We start from the raw sequence: 17,920 nt of genomic DNA, 5'->3' as shown, positions 1-17,920 counted from the left end.
TTTACCACCTTAACCATTTTTAAGGATACAGTTAGTGGTGTTTAGTATATTCACATTGTTATGCAACAGATCTCTAGAACTTTTTCATCTTGCAATACGGAAACTCTGTACTCACTAAACACCTTCTTGTTTCCTCCCACCCCCAGGCTCTGGGAACCACCCTTCTACTTTCTGTCTCTAGGAATTTCACTACTCTAGGTGAGTGGTGTAAGTGGAATTATACAGAGTTTGTCTATTTTGTGACTGGCTTGTTTCGCATAGCCCAGTGTCCTTAAGGTTCATCCATGTTGTGGCATGTGCTAGGATTTCCTTTCTTTTAAGGCTGAATAATATTCCATTGCATATTTTGTTTATCCCTTTATCTGTTGATAGACACTTGTGTTGTTTTTACCTTTCGGCTATTGGGAGTAATGCTGATATGAACATGAGTGTACAAACATCTTTTCGAGACCCTGCTTTCAGTTCTTTTGGGTATATGCCCAGAAGTGGAATTGTGGATCATGTAATTCTATTTCTAATTTTTTGAGGAAACTCCATACTGTTTTCCATAGTGGCTGAACCATTTTATATTGCCACCAACAGTTCACAAAAGTGCTAACCTCTCTGCAGCCTAATACTTTTTCTTTTTTTCCTGTTGAGATGGAGTCTTACTCTATTGCCTAGGCTGGTAGGCAGTGGTGCGATCTTGGTGCACTACAGCCTCTGCCTCCCAGGTTCAAGCGATTCTCCTGCCTCAGCCTCCCAAGTGGCTGAGATGACAGGCGCATGCCACCACGCCCAGCTAATTTTCGTATTTTAGTAGAGACGAGGTTTCGCCATGTTGACCGGGCTGGTCTCGAACTCCTTACTTCAAGTGATCCGCCCGCCTTGGCCTACCAAAGTGCTGAGATTATAGGCGTGAGCCACCGTACCTGGCCTTTTTTTTTTTTTTAAGGCTCTGGATATCCCTTTTAGGGCAATACTTATTTTGTTAAAAAAAAATTTTTTTTTTGTAATAGTAGCCATCCTAATGGGTGTGTTTTAATTTTTTTTTTTTTTTTTTTTTTAAGACAGCGTTTCATTCTTGTCGCCTAGGCTGAAATGCAATGGCATGATCTCGGCTCATTGCAACCTCTGCCTCCCAGGTTCAAGTGATTCTCCTGCCTCTGCCTCCCGAGTAGCTGGGATTATAGGCTTGCGCCACCATGCCCAGCTAATTTTTGTGTTTTTACTAGGATGGTGTTTCACCATGTTGGCCAGGCTAGTCTCGAACTCCTGACCTCAGGTGATCCACCCACCTTGGCCTCCCAAAGTACTGGGATTGCAGGCGTGAGCCACCACGCCCAGCCCTTTAATTTGTTTTTAAACTTAATTTTATCTTTTATCAAACTGAGTTTTAGATTTGTTTTGTTTTTTTGAGATGGAGTCTTATTCTGTTGCCCAGGCTGGAGTTGCAGTGGTGCGATCTTGGCTCACTGCCACCTCTGCCTGCCAGGTTCAAGTGATTCTCCTGCCTCAGCCTCTCAAGTAGCTGGGATTACAGGTGCCCACCACCACACCAGGCTTGTTTTTGTATTTTTGGTAGAGATGTGGTTTTACATTGTTGGCCAGACTGGACTCAAACTCCTGACCTCAAGTGATCTGCCTGCCTCGGCCTTTCAAAGTACTGGGATTACAGACATGAGCCACTGTGCCCGGCCTTGAGTTTTAGATTTTCATGCAATCAGATTTATTATATTGTTCCTATATGGGTGTGTGTGTGTGTGTGTGTGTGTGTGTGTGTGTGTGTGTGTGTGTCTGTCTTCATGAAGGAATCCTCCCCTATATGGAGGTAATGGTTTCATCTTATATTTTCTTCTAAAAGTTGTAAAAGTTTGCTTTTCACCTTTAGGTCTCTAATCCACCTGGAGTTTATTTCGATGTTTCCTGTGAAGTAGAGATCACTTTTTTTTTTCATAAAGATAACCCTGAAATATGGATCCAATTTTCTTTCCATAAGGATAATCTAGTGACCAAGCATCCTTTATTGAATAGTCCATCTGTTCCCTACAACTTTTCTAATGCCACTTAAATGTTTCCATATATATGAGAGTTTGTATCTGTATTTTCTCTATTCCATACCATTGGTCTTTTTGCCTATCTTGTACTACACTGCCTTAATTCTCATAGCTTTATAATAATTATTTATATTTGATAGGGCAAGTCTCACTCCCTTGTTCTTTATTTTTCAGACTTTCTGTCATACTGGTATTTTTTTTTTTTTTTTTGAGATGGAGTCTCGCCCTGTTGCCTAGGCTGGAGTGCAGTGGCGCTATCTCACTGCAACCTCCGCCTCCTGGGTTCAGGCAATTCTCCTGCCTCAGCCTCCTGAGTAGCTGGGACTACAGGTGTGCACCACCACACCAGGCTAATTTTTGTATTTTTATTAGAGATGGGGTTTCAGCATGTTGGCCAGGCTGGTCTTGAACTCCTAACCTCAGGTGATCCACCCGCCTCAGCCTCCCAAAGTGCTGAGATTACAGGAATGAGCCATCGCACCTGGCCAGATTGGTGTGTGTGTGTGTGTGTGTGTGTGTGTGTGTGTGTGTGTGTGTGTCTGTATATATATATAATCTTTTTTTGCTTTTTTTGTGAGACAGAGTCTTGTTCTGTCACCAGGCTGGAGTACAGTGGTGCGATCTCGGCTCACTGCAAGCTCCGCCTCCTGGGTTCACGCCATTCTCCTGCCTCAGCCTCCTGAGTAGCTGGGACTACAGGCGCCTGCCACCACGCCTGGCTAATTTTTTTGTATTTTTAGTAGAGACGGGGTTTCACTATGTTAGCCAGGATGATCTTGATCTCCTGACCTCATGATCCGCCCGCCTTGGCCTCCCAAAGTGCTGGGATTACAGGTGTGTGCCACTGCGCCGGGCCCCAAATTGGTATATTTTAATGAAGCTATTTGTTGTCCAAAATATATTCACATGATATATAATGGACTTTTCCTAAAGAAAAGAAAAATTACACCTTCCTTATCTAGTAACTGATCACTTGTTTTGAATGAGCCTACAATTTCCATTCAACTTTTAGTTTTGTTGGAGTAATTTTATATAGGGATATCTTCAAATGGAAGGGAACCTTATTATAATTTGGTGTCTTGTATAAGGATACCAAATAAAACAGTTTGGGTAAAAGCATCGAAGTTTTATGGTGTCAAGACTTCCTTGATCATAAGGAAATGAAACCTATTCAAACCAGTTCATATAAAAGAGTTTCTGATGCCACATGCAGGGTTGAAAAAAACATAAGCCAGGGGAGATTTATCTAAAGGAAAAAGGAAATAGCTGTTGCAGAATCTAAGGAAAAGCTGAACAACCAAACCTCAGAAAAGGCTGGAACCAAAACAGTAGCAGGGTCTTCCGCAAGAGTTTATGGACTCTAGTGTTCTGCTGTAAATAGGCTTTAGTCTCCATGAGGCATAATTCAGATTCCTGGGGGAGATCTGATATGGTCAGTTGAAAGGTTGATTTTCCTCCGGGCCAGATACCTGCCCCAGGTTCAACTTCAGTTGCGGGTGAGGAAGTGGGAGATTTTGGTACAAACAGAGCAGTTTTGGGAGTGGCTGGAATCAGGCGTATTTTTCTTAGAACAGTGATTCTCACTGTCGTCTCAGGAGTTTTTACACTGTTAAAAACTTTTGAGGACCCTAAAGAGCTTTTGTTTATGTGGGTTATATAAATTGATATTTACCAAATTAGATATTAAAATGGAAGACATTTAAAAATATTTATTACTATAAAATAATAAACCTTTCTCGTTAACATAATATATTTTTATGAAAAAATGTTTTAGAAAAATTCATGAGAAGAGTTGCATTTTTTACATTTCTGCAAGTCTCTTAAATATCCAGCTTAATGGAAGGCAGCTAGATTTTCATATCTGCTTCTATTCAGTCTGATGTGACAATTTGTTTTGATTGAAGTACCCAAAGAAAATATGGCCTGAAAGAACATGTAGTTGGAAAAGGGAGAAGTATTTTATAGCCTTTTCAGACAATTGTGCATATTCTTCTCTGATACTACACCAAAACTTGACAAGTGTTAGTTTCTTATAAATTAAGTTGCAGTATGAAATCTGAAATCATATTGATGTTACTGTTACATTAAAATCCATTAACCTGACTTGCACTTGAATGGATCTTTTACCCATATGTGATTTTAGAATATCATGCTGCGGTCTTTTGGGAAATACTTGTTAATTGAGTTAAGCAGATCTTCTAAATGTTTAAACATTTTATAATACAATAACAAAAACCCACATTAGTTATATCACCACCCATTTCATCAGCAAAGTCTATAAGTATTGGGAAGCTGTCAAGTAGCTACAGATTTTCCAGAATTCTAGTTTTTCTCTAGAAGCCTGGTTTTTATCATTGGCAACAAATACTGTCACTTGTTTTCCTCAAAGTGACAGACTCCATTTTCAAGAAAATGTCTGCTAAATATTCATGTCTAAATAACCAGTTTGTTCTTTGTTCCAAGTAAAAGTAGGGTTCCATGGAAAAAGCAGCTAGTTCAACTCACAACTCAGAGTCACAAGTGCTTTTCCTGGAGACAGCCCATTGTACTTGAGTATCTTGCAGAAGTGCTTTATGCATACTTCCCAGTTTTTTTACAGACTATTTAAAAGACCTACACTCAAGGGTTTAGATTTAATTAATAATTTTTATTGCTTCATCAAGAACATTCTTAAGTGCAAGCAATTGTTTTTTAAAGTCACCTGTGTGATGGCAAAAGACAATGACTGTAGTACAGTTCGATGTCATTACTTATGCTGATGAGTAATAGCTCATGCTAGCAGTGGTCCCCAACCTTTTTGGCCCCATGGACTGGTTTTGTGGAGGACAGTTTTTCCACTACCTGGTAGTTGGGATGGTTTTGGGATGAAACTGCTGCACCTCAGATCATCAGGTATTAGATTCTCATAAGGAGCTTGCAACCTAGATCCCTCCCATTTGCATTTCACAGTAGGGTTGAGGCTCCTTTGAGAATCTCATGCCATGGCTGATCTCACAGGAGGCACAGCTCAGGCAGTAATGCTTGCTCGCCCGTCCACCTCTCACCTCCTGTGCGCCTGGTTCCTAACAGGCCATGGGTCGGTAAGGTCTGCCGCCCTGGGGCTGGGGACCCCTGTGCTAAGGCACCAGCAGTTTTACCCATTATTGCTCTTGTACTATCAGCACAAATATCAACATAATGAAAAAGGCAAACAATTTCTTGGTATTGTTATGAAAATAATGTTGCCTTCACAGACCACTTGAAAGGGACCTCCAGGAATCTACTGGGACCACACTTTGAGAACCATAACCTTAAGAGAGGGTGTGGGTGGGGAAACAAAGGTCAATACTTGAAGTACAGGTGTTTCCTGATGGAATTTTACCGGATCGTTAGTGCAGTCACTTAACATCACTGAACATAATGTCAACACGAATGGGATATTTTTAAAGATCATAAAAAGTTTCAAATTTCTTTTGAACAGAAATGTTTTTCTAGGAATTATCATTTACTTTTTTTTTTTTTTGAGATGGAGTCTCCCCCTGTCGCCCAGGCTGGAGTGCAGTGGCGCAATCTTGGCTCACTGCAACCTCCGCCTCCCAGGTTCAAGCGACTGTCCTGCCTCAACCTCCCGAGTAGCTGGGATTACAGGCGCCTGCCATGTGGTGGTGCCCGGCTAATTTTTGTATTTTTAGTAGAGATGGGGTTTCACCATGTCAGCCAGGCTGGTCTCAAACTCCTGACCTCAGGTGATCTGCCCGCCTGGGCCTCCCAAAGTGCTGGGATTACAGGCGTGAGCCACCGCGCCTGGCCTGGAATTACCATTTTCTAACAGCAGAGTTTATGGTGTTTGGATTTTCAGCCAGATAGTCTTTCAAGTATATAATAATCTTAGGGGAAACCATTTTAATGAAGCTTATGGAATTTGTCTCATGTAGTAGTACATACAGCTTAACATTTTTTTCAAGCACTTGAATATATTTTGAAAATCTGTCACAATCTGAGGGGGGCAAAAATCTGAGCTTTAAAAATTGCATTTGGGCAGGTCCTGCCTTTCTAGAAAAGGCATAGAAGAGAAAGTTCATACTGAGAATTCTCCATTCTAGCTTTGTATCTTTTGGTCATTAAAGGGTCTCTCTAAAGAGGAAGAGACCTCCCTACCCCCAAAAATTTAAATTTTTTTTTTTTTTTTTTTTTTTGAGACGGAGTTTCACTCTTGTTGCCCAGGCTGGAGTGCACTGGCATGATTTCGGCTCACCGCAACCTCCGCCTTCCCAGTTCAAGTGATTCTCCTGCCTCAGCCTCCAAAGTAGCTGGGATTACAGGCATGCACCACAATGCCCGGCTAATTTTGTACTTTTAGTAGAGGCGGGGTTTCTCAATGTTGGTCAGGCTGGTCTTGAACTCCCGACTTCAGGTGATTTGCCTGCCTCAGCCTCCCAAACTGCTGGGATTACAGGCATGAGCCACCGCACCCGGCCTTAAATATGTTTTATGGTAGAGAAGGGAAGGGAATAGTGTTAACTGACTTTTCTTTTTAACAAATACCTGCTGAGTGACTATAAGCAAAAGCATAGTAGAAAGACAGGGAGGGGTATGTTCCAAAATGAGTGGGGGATTAAAGCAGTATTATATGTTTGGTGCTTAGAAGAGGAAGAGTTCTTTGGGGAAGCTGGGGTGAGATTCAGGACTGTCTTCGTGAAGGTTACCTTTGAGCTGGGCTTTGAAGGGTGGGTATTTTGAAGGTTGGATTTCCATTGGCAGAGATGGGGAAGGGAATTGAGGCAGAAGGAATGTCATGAGTGAAAATGTGGAGGTGGGGAAGCTCAGTGTTAGTATAGGGTGTGTACTGAAAATGATGAAGAGCATAGCATGGCTGAAGCAGAAGATGGGATAATGGATGATAAGACTGGAAAATAAATGGGCTCAGAGCTTGGAAGGTTTTCGACCATGGCCAAGCAGTTTGGGTTTAATGTGGTAAAGCATGAGAGATTGAAAACTTTTGATTGAAGAAATAACATGATTAGGGTGTGCTTTCACAAATTTTGTTACTGATTTATTAACTATTTTTTTAGTAGGTACTGTGTGCCATATAAGTGAGGCAAAGTTTGTATAATGGTGAGCCTCATAGAAAATCCCCACTCTGATGGAATTTGCAGTCTAGAAAAGGAACTTCAGCAAGCTAATGCAGTTATAAATTATTGTAAATGTAATGAAGGAAAGGAATAAATTATTTTTTATTTTTTTGAGATGGAGTCTTGCTCTGTCACACAGGCTGGAGTGCAGTGGCGCAATCTCAGCTCACTGCAAGCTCCGCCTCCCGGGTTCACACCATTCTCCTGCCTCAGCCTCCCGAGTAGCTGGGACTACAGGCACCCACCACCACACCTGGCTAATTTTTTTGTATTTTTTATTAGAGCTGGGGTTTCACCCTGTTAGCCAGGATGGTTTCGATCTCCTGACCTCGTGATCCGCCTGTCTCGGCCTCCCAAAGTGCTGGGATTATAGGCGTGAGCCACTGCGCCTGGCCAGAATAAATTATTAAGGAAAATAATGGGGAGATTAAATTTAGGTGGAGGAGTCAGGGAAGGCCTTTCTGGGGCATTAAATATTAATTGGGTACCAGTTATGTGCCAGATGCTATTCTAAATGCTGGAGACAAAAACAGACAAAAATCCCTACTCTCATGGAGCTTATATTCAGGCAGCAAACAAGATAAATAAAATATATGGTTTATTGGAAAGTGATAAGTTTCAAGGAGAAAAATACGACCCGAAAAAGGGATAGATAGAGAATGTTGGGGTGGGAGTAGGTGTTGTGATTTTAGATAGAATGGCCAGGGAAGACCTCACTAACTCACATCAAAGGTAATGCTTGAGTAAATATCTGTAGAAGATGCAGGAGAGAACTAGCACTCTAGACAAAAGAAATAGCAAAAACCATGAGGTATGTATGTGCCTGCCATACTCAAGGAACCAGCAAGGAGGCCAGCATGACTGGAGTTAAGTGAACAAGAGAGAAAGTAGTAGAAATGAGGTCAGAGAGGTTGGTGGAAGTCCAAATGTTGTAGAGCAGTGGTTCTCACTCTTAGCTGTTTGTTAGAATCACCTGGGGAACTTTTTCTACTCCTGGTGCCTGGGCTGCACCCATACCACTTAAGTAAGAATCTCTGCAGGTGGGACTTAGTGGCAGAAGAGATGGAGAGAAGTGGATGGATTTGAGAAGTATGTTAAAGAAAGAATTCATTTAATTATAGATTGAGTGTGGGGGTTGAGGAAGAGGAAAGTGTCAAGAATGACTCCCAGGTTTCTGGCTGAAGCAACTGGATGGGTAGACGTGTCACTGAGATGAGGGTGGGAGATAGGAATGGGAGGAGTAGGTGTGGAATTTGGAGGGAAGATCAGAAATCAGGAGTTCAATTTTAGACATGTTAAATTTGAGATGCGAATGAGGCTAAGTATAAATATGTTAAGTAGGCAGATATATGAGTGGAGCTTGAAATGAAATCAGAGCTTGAGGTAATACAATTTTATATCATCCGCTTGTTGATGGTCTTGAAAGTATCTAAATAACATCATGTAGGACAAACTTAATGGTGAAAGAACTGGAGATATGGAAACTAGCCTACTCTACTAATCTGAACAAGAATTGGTGCTAATTTGAATCAGGATAGTGTCAGTGGCTCTAGAAAAATATAAGTAGGTTGGAGGTTTAAGGACTGAGGAGCCTGTGTGTAACGGAGGTGGACAATAGGCAAGGAATGAAAGATAACTTTGAGATATAAAGCCTAGGTGAATGATCCGTCCATTAGCAGATACGAAGCTGTCGGAGGAGCTGGTTTGGGAAAACAGGTAGTGATTGGCTTTGGTTGTATTGATGTTTAGGAGAGGCTGCCTAGCAGGCAGGCAGTTGGGTCTATTGCACTGAGTTTTGGAAGAGTAGATGAGGTTCAAAACGTAGATCAAGAAATAGATTTTCGTACATTGAAAATGAAACACTTTCATTTGCATAAAATTGATTCACCATGGGAGCAGCAACATTTATGAAAATAGCAACATCCCCAGATTTATTCTGACCTGTTAGGATCTCTGTGATGTGGTCCTTACCTGTTTCTTTTAGTGTTTTCCTTTGATGACCGTGTTCAAGCTATACTGCCCTTCTTTCTATTCTTCCAGCATACCCAGCTAGGTCCTCCTTTGGGCTTTTGCACTTTTTATTTTCTCATTTTAACTCTTCTCTCCTTCTTAGTAGAGGGATAAGAGGGCTGAGAAAAATTCAGAAGTTGGTGTCTGGGAAGTGGAGAAAGTTGCAAGCAGATCTTTGCTAAGGTGTGGGAGCATGGATGAGCACATGAAGTAGAATGGCTGTGGGAGCCCTTGACGTTGACATTTGGTCAACACAAAGACACAGAGTACCATGTTGGTCTCAGTGTATCCCAGTACTCAAATCTGTTGACCAGAGATGCTACAGCAGTGGTAGTTCTTCTCCGCTTGGTTGTCTGATGATGGTGGTGGTGATGGTCCACCTTTGAAATATGACTTGACTCATTGCTATCTGTCCTGCCACCGCCGATGGAAACATCTTCTGCATAGGTGAGAAACTCCCTTCAGTGAAAGCTATGGGTAAATTATTTCAGAAACTTGCTGGCTTGAAGAAACAACATGAAAACAGCAGGGAAGTTCCTTGCAGTCCACTTTGACATATTGTTAGGAATTACTTCTCATTAGGAGCACCTATGTGGCTCTTTATTGGTGGTGTTAGTAGTAAAAGGGAGTAATGCACTCCACATGAATCCTTAAAAAGAGATTTAAAAATCAACATGGTATTTTTTCAGAATAAAAGTATTTGCTTTTGCTGATTATGAAATAATTTGTGGAAAAAAATAGAAAAGTATAAAGAAAAAAGTAAAAAATTACCCCAAATCCCACCATACAGAGTTAACTACAGTTAACGTTTTCTGAACATCTTATTGGGCATTTCTCTAAATGTGTATGTGCATGTAGATATTTATATCTATAAAAAATTGATTGTGTGTTTTTAAAATTGCTTTAAAAATTCAGCATATTGTAGACCTCTTTTATGCCAGTAAAAAAATAACTTCTCAAAGTAACTACATAGAATTCTGTTTTATGGATTAATCATACTTTATTTGGCCAATTTCCCAATAATGAATTTTTTTCCTCCAGTTTTTCCTTATAAATTGTGCTGTGATGGCCAGGCGAAGTGGCTCATGCCTGTAATCCCAGCACTTTGGGAGGCTGAGGTGGGCGGATCATGAGGTCAGGAGATTGAGACCATCCTGGCTAACATGGTAACACCCTGTCTCTACTAAAAATACAAAAAATTAGCTGGGTGTGGTGACACGCTGCTGTAGTCCCAGCTACTCAGGAGGCTGAGGCAGGAGAATCGCTTGAACCCGGGGAGGTGGAAGTTGCAGTGAGCCGCGATCACGCCACTGCACTCTAGCCTGGGTGACAGAGCAAGACTCTGTTTCAAAAAAAAAAAAAAAAAAAAAAGGCCGGGTGCGGTGGCTCATGCTTGTAATCCCAGCACTTTGGGAGGCCGAGGCGAGTGGATCATAGGGTCAGGAGTTCAAGACCAGCCTGGCCAACATGGTGAAACCCCGTCCCTATTAAAAATACAAAAATTAGCTGGGCGTGGTGGCGGGTGCATGTAATCCCAGCTACTCGAGAGGCCGAGGCAGGAGAATCGTTAGAACCCAGGAGGCAGAGGTTGCAGTGAGCCGAGATCACGCCATTGTACTCCAGCCTGGGTGACAGTGCAAGACTACATCTCAAGAAAGAAAAAATTTGCTGTGATGAACATCGTTGTACATAAATCTTTATACATCAATCATATTGATTCCTTAGGATTTATTCCTGAAGTAGAATTGCTGTACAATATTAGATTTTTCCTAATTATTCCTTAAATATTCTTGTAATTGAAAAAATATGTAAACAGCATTAAAGGACATTTTGATAAAGGTAAAAAAATCAACTTTATTCTTTTTTTTTTTTGAGACAGAGTCTTGCTCTGTCGCCCAGGCTGGAGTGCAGTGGCGCAATCTCGGCGCAATCTCGGCTCACTGCAAGCTCCGCCTCCCAGGTTCACCACATTCTCCTGCCTCAGCCTCCCAAGTAGCTGGGACTACAGGCGCCCGCCACCATGTCCAGCTAATTTTTTGTATTTTTTTTTAGTAGAGACGGGATTTCACTGTGTTAGCCAGGATGGTCTCGATCTCCTGACCTCGTGATCTGCCTGCCTCGGCCTCCCAAAGTGCTGGGATTACAGGCGTGAGCCACTGCGCCTGGCCTAAATCAGTTTTATTCGTATAGCAACTGTTTTCTTCTTTCCATCTGATAAGTTGTTTTTTAAGTACCAATTCCTAGATCTCACTAGACCTATAAAAGAGAATTTTGGAATAGGGAAAAACATACAGAGAATTAAAATTCTGGGCATCCTACGTTAATTGGCAGCTAATGGGTTCTTAGTAACATTTGTTAACTGCCAAGAAAGTGACACTAGGAATTTAGAGTATACTGGGGCAGTTAGGAAATGCTTCAGAACAAGGTAGGACTTGACTTGGACCTGGAAGGGTAGTATTCAGATAGGAGGTAGAACATTTCTGGCTTTCGGGGTGGTATGAATAAATTTGAGAAAGGCATATGGTTGTATGTATGAGCTGACAAACAGGCTAGAGTCAACTAATTGGAGAGGAGGGTTTGTGTTGTGGTGTAGTGGAGAGGTTTTTATGGGAGTTATGTCCCAGAGGACTGATTTTATTTTTAGTACATCTGAAGTTGTGTAGTATGCAAGTGTAAGATAAAGCAGTATCTAGATGTGGCCTAATTTTAAGCAAACTGGATACATTGAAGTCTCTTTTTACAAGAAATACTGGAGAAAGGTTCTTTATATGTGGATTATTTAAATAATGATCTTCCCAATACTTAAATATTTATTTTACTTTGTAGTTCTCTATAGATAGACTAGTTGCAACTTTTGTGGATCTCAGATTCTTTTGTAATATCAAAGAGTTCAGACAAGGTGGTTTCTGAAGTTCTTTCTGGCACAGAGATTATTACATAACTTTTAAGAATACCTGGCTGGGCACGGTGGCTCACACCTGTGGTCACAGCACTTTGGGAGGCTGAGGCAGGTGGATCACCTAAGGTCAGGAGTTCGAGACCAGCCTGACCAACATGGAGAAACCCCGTCTCTACTAAAAATACAAAAAATTAGCCGGGCATGGTGGCGCATGCCTGTAATCCTAGCTACTCAGGAGGCTGAGGCAGGAGAATCACTTGAACCCGGGAGGTGGAGGTTGCGGTGAGCCAAGATTGCGCTATTATACTCCAGCCTGGGCAACAAGAGCGAAACTCTGTCTCAAAAAAAAATTTTTTTCATTCGAAAATTATTTTATGGCTAAGACTGAGCTGTTAGAATATGCTGTGAGATCGAGAGAAATTATTATATAGTAGTTTTAAATTATCCTCATATACATTATCCATCAACATTTATCTCATGCTGAGTTCCTATTTTATCTTGAATTCACTCCCATGATGTCTTTTAATCTATGTCCAGGCTACGTAAATAATTACTATTATTTCAGCCAAGATAGAATTTTGGATGTAAATCTATAGGAAAAATTACATCATGCATTCCAAACTAAAATGTTAAGAATTTCCTTTCTTTTTTTTTTTTGGAGACGGAGTCTCGCTCTGTCGCCCAGGTTGGAGTGCAGTGACGCGATCTCGGCCCACTGCAAGCTCCGCCTCCCGGGTTCACGCCATTCTCCTGCCTCAGCCTCCCGAGTAGCTGGGACTACAGGTGCCCGCCACCACGCCAGGCTAATTTTTTGTATTTTCAGTCGAGACGGGGTTTCACCGTGTTAGCCAGGATGGTCTCGATCTCCTGACCTCGTGATACACCCGTCTTGGCCTCCCAAAGTGCTGGGATTACAGGAGTAAGCCACTGCGCCCGGCAAGAATTTCTTTTTTAATACCTGTTTTGGAATATTTATATCACTTTTTACATCCTTTAATATGGAAAATTGAGAACTGACTAGTACTTTTTTAAACTCAGTAACTTTCTTTTTAAAGTATATAACCATGTTCAGAGCTTATCAGGGGTGTATGTTAAGTATCTCCTTCCTAGTGTTACATTCTTTTCACTAAATTATACAAGTTTTGACCAAGGTAAGGCACCATAAGGTGACTGACTGGCTTTTCTGACAGGCCCTCTTAGGATGCTGTTAACTTGGTGGAGTCTTAAAGATTCAGGATCTGTTCCTCAGTTTTGCTAGTAAACTCAGTTTCTTCATTGTTACCAGAGTTAATTGGTCTTGGGAAAAGTAGTTAGCAAAACTCACTAACAGTTGACAAAATAAACCAGAATGCCATTTTATTTTATTTTATTTATTTACTTTTTTGAGACAGAGTCTCACTCTGTCACTCAGGCTAGAGTGCATTGATGCGATCTCAGCCCACTGCAACCTCCGCCTCCCAGGTTAAGGCGATTCTTCTGCCTCAGCCTCCTGAGTAGCTGGGACTACAGGCATGTACCACCACGCCCGGCTAATTTTTTGTATTTTAGTAGAGACAGGGTTTTGCCATGTTGCCCAGGGTGGTCTGGAGCTCCTGAGCTCAGGCAATCCGCTGGCCTCGGCCTCACAAAGTGCTACTGTCTCTTTAAAAAAAAGAAAGAAAGGAAAAAAGAAACTAACATAATTTCCAAAGTGGATGCCATGAATTAATTTAATAATTACTTATTCAGTATCTACTACATGCCAGACATTGTAACAGTTATTTAATTAAACATTTAGTTGGCTGTGGTGGCAGCATACCTGTAGTCTCAGCTCCTGGGGAGGTCAGGGTAGGAGGATCACTTGAGTCCCTGAGTTTGAGAACAGCCTGGGCAACATAGATAGACACTGTCACTAGTAAAAAACAAACAGTTTTAAAAATGCCTGAAGAATTGTTGTCTATGTGTTTTACTAACATGTTTATCACCTCTGGAATTGTGCACTGTCCTATTTAATTGGGGGATAATGGCTGCATTAATAGGTATCCTTTGTCAGTGACAAAGACAAAGAACTAAATTCACTTTCACTGTGCTAATAACCATTTCTGGGTGAAAGAGGCCAGATTATATGTAGAGGAATTTAGTTGTACATTTAAATTCACATCCTGATCTAAGACAGAATTAGGCCTTCTTGGGATTCATAGGATTTGCAATACAAGTTGCTCACCTACTCTCCTTGAATAGAAAAAACTTTTTTTCTGTCTGTATCTTCTTTCAGAGCTCTGCAAGGAAGCATCAACACTTAAATCTTGTAAACAAAGTACCACATATCATATCTATTATATACTTATATATTGTGTATATTATATTTATATTATATATTTATATTATTTTTGTATTTATAAAAGGCATTTCTGACTTTCTCTTTTTTTGGTCTAAATCTCACTGGCTCTTCTACTGAAAGGTTTTTTTTGTACCCACTCTTCTGTGACTATCTCTGACCATCCTGAATGTATCAAAGAGGGTAGATGCTCAAGTGGGAGTCACATTGGAAGTACATATTGATATATTTTGGAGGGCAATTTGACAATATCAAAATAAACAGCATGCAGGCTATTGGGCCTACTTGTGCTTATGTTTAGATATACTTGTTTGCTACATTGTTTGCAGTAGCAAAAACATGGAAACCATTCGGCAGGGTAACAGTGGAATTCTCTGCAACCATTAGAAAGAATAAAGTGTGTCTACAGGGAAAATATTATTTGTATTTTATATATATATATGCTGGTAGATGCCTGTTGTGTTCATTTTTTGTTTGTTTGTTTGTTTTGAGGATATAAAAAATCCCTCTCTAAAGGCTTTAGAGAGGGATTTGAAATCTAGAAGGAAACTTACTTTTCAATTGTAGCTTCCTGTAACTTTTGAATTACTTAGGTTATGTATATATATTGCTTTTCTTTAAAATAAAATGCATATATGAAGAAAAGTAGATACAATTTTAACAGTGTTTCCAAAGGGGCATAGAACTTTAGCACTGAAGGGACCTTAGAGATTCTTACACAGTCACCCTCAATTAAAGATGAGGGGGAAAAAAAATGAGGAAATTCAGATTCAGGAAAGTATCTTCAAGCCTGCACTAGAATTCAGGCCCTGAGGATAGCAATAGCTTATGAATATATTGACTTGTTCTTATTCTAACAGTTTATTTAACTGACGTCCATTTCTCATTGTGAAGGATTGATTTTTGGAAGACCCAATAAAATGCTGACCTTTGTAAGACAGTTCTTAAAGCAACTACCTCTGGCAATAATGATAAAGTGGTAGTTTTAACTCTTCCCCATGTTTTGTAACTTTGAGGGGCCCAATCCCTTAGAAATATATTTATAAGTTCCTTAAGTATTATTTGAAGCGAATTTGGGTCTAGAGTCCAAAGTTTCCCTTCCTGATTTGAATTCCTAGCTGACTATTCTAGATGTTTAAAATTGGTTTTACTGTGTTTTTGTTCCATTTGGTATGCAGGGATGAAAGGGTCAGGGTATAGTTTTGGTGACTTCTAAATGGCTTGCTATTTAAAGGAAGAATTTACTGTAAGAGATGGTAGGAAATTGTCTAGAGGAGGAAATTTTATGTACTGAAGAGAAACTCTTAAGTTCTTGAACATATGAGTTACTCTTTTAAGTTGAGTCTTTTCCTGGCTCTTCAAGGCCAGAAACACTTTCTCCTTATTCAAACCACACAAAGACATTGGTAATGGTGAGATTGGCAGTTCAGCATGGGACTGGACATTCAAACTACATTCAATGAATATTTTTTATGGTTGATTGACTTCAGTTAGGCACAAGCAATAGAAACACATTTACTAATGTTAAGATTAGTTGTTAGCTTTAAGATTAAAATCTGTCTCTCTGGTGACTCTACTACAGGTTGAACATCCCTTATCCAAAATGCTTGGGACTAGAAGTGTTTCAGATTTTTTATTTTTTTCTGATTTTGAAATATTTACACCCCTAATCCAAATACTCAGAATCCAAAATGCTCTAATGAACATTTCCTTTGAGCATCATACCCGTGCTTAAAAAGTTTTGGATTTTGGAGCATTTCAGATTTTCAGGTTAGGGATGATCCACCTGTAGTAGTATTGGTGGGGAAAACTTATTCTTCCAATTTTTTTTTTTTTTGAGAATGTCACTCTGTCACCCAGGCTGGAGTGCAATGGCACGATTTCGGCTCATTGCAACCTTCGCCTCCTGGGTTCAGGCAATTTTCATGCCTCAGCCTCCCTAGTAGCTGGGATTACAGGCGCCCGCCACCACGCCTGGCTAATTTTTGTATTTTTAGTGGAGACAGGGTTTCACCATGTTGGCCAGGCTGGTCTGGAACTCCTGACCTCAAGTGATCTGCCTGCCTTGGCCTCCCAAAGTGTTGGGATTACAGGCATGAGCCATCGTGTTGGGCCTATTCTTCCAAAATTTAATGATCCATAGGCCTATCACAAAATGGGTACTCTAAATATTTGGTAATAATTTGATTAAGATGATAGGATGAATCTTTGCTTTGAAAGAGGAAATAAAGGAAGCCTTTTATTCCGGAAATAAAGACACCTTTCACATCTTAAGAATCAGAGTCAAATTATGTCTGTGCTGTTTTAATCAGTAAAGATTTGGTTGAATTGAAAATAAAAGGTTACAGGAGCCAAGAACAAATAGAGTTGCAAATTTATCTTTGTAACTCCATATCCTTAGGAGGAATCCAGTTTGTATAGCCACTTTAATTTTGTTGTGAATATAGACTGAGCAGTGGAATTGAGTAGCTTGACAGTTGACTTAATTTGAACAGTCACATTAGATAAGACTGGAAAGCTAGGTTGAGGGAAGTCAATTTTGTGTGTGTTTTCTGGTTTTGTTTCTAGTATCGTTTCTGATAATGAGGAGAATTTGGTGGCCCATTTGGACCCTACTTAATGGTAACTATAGTGCCTCACCAATATCTTTCTTGTGCTATTCCAATTTATCAATCATTATTGGACCCAATATCCTGAATTACAGTCTGATTATTTTTCACCAATCTTTTATCTTTCATTTACCCACACTGAAATTCTTGAGCCCAACATCTCTTTTTTTCCTCACATAACTGTGGGGAGATAGTATGATAGCTAGGTACTGTTCTAAACTCCGCTGCTGGCTTCCTGTGTGTATTATTAACACATTGGGCAAGCCACTAAGCTGCTTTGGGGTTCAGTTCCTTGATCTGTAAAATGAAATAATTTGACTGGATATTATTAAGTCCTTTTATATCTCCAGAGCTATTTTATTCCTTTATTCACCAGACTTTTCTTGTGAAGCACCTTCTCTGTGCTAGGCACAATACAGGATGTTCTGGGTACAAACTTCTTGCCCACAAAGAGTATTTAGAACTTCCATCACTTTATTCAAATCAGCTTAGTCTTTTACTCTGGAAAAATTTAGTATTAGCAAGTTTTGTCAATTTTTACTATCACTGTATAAGGTATTTGTTAAAATTGCTGGTATTACTTAGATCTTCATCTCCAAAAATACTCATATCTCTACTTTTTGTTTTTCTACTTATTTATTTATTATTGTTATTATTATTTTTGAAACGGAGTCTTGCTCTGTTGCCCAGGCTGGAGTGCAGTGGCACGAGCTTGGCTCACTGTAACCTCCACCTCCCGGTTTCAAGGGATTCTCCTGCCTCAGCCTCCCGAGTAGCTGGGACTATAGGCGTGCACCATCATGCCCGGCTAATTTTTGTATTTTTAGTAGAGACAGGGTTTCACCATGTTGGCTAGGCTGGTCTCAAACTCCTGACCTCAAGTGATCTGCCCGCCTCAGCCTCCCAAAGTGCTGGGATTACAGGCATAAGCCACTGCA

The 17,920-nt window shown here is 40.4% G+C and overlaps 1 protein-coding gene across 6 annotated transcripts in view; it reads left to right on the top strand.

The window, feature by feature from the left end:
• The window catches only part of SPOP (speckle type BTB/POZ protein), a 79,280-nt gene that overhangs the window by 9,939 nt on the left and 51,421 nt on the right, over positions 1–17,920 (top strand). For 3 of the 6 annotated variants that reach the window (NM_001007227.1, NM_001007230.1, NM_001007226.1), the window contains one exon: positions 147–198. The exons of the other annotated variants lie outside the window; for them this stretch is intronic. The gene's annotated coding sequence lies outside the window, so the exon portion shown is untranslated. The remainder of the gene's footprint in view (positions 1–146; positions 199–17,920) is intronic. 6 annotated transcript variants of the gene reach the window in all.

The sequence above is a fragment of the Homo sapiens genome, chromosome 17 (genome assembly GCF_000001405.40).
Source record: "Homo sapiens chromosome 17, GRCh38.p14 Primary Assembly".
NCBI classification, from domain to species: Eukaryota; Metazoa; Chordata; class Mammalia; order Primates; family Hominidae; genus Homo; species Homo sapiens.
This window is presented reverse-complemented; position numbering and strand designations above follow the sequence as displayed.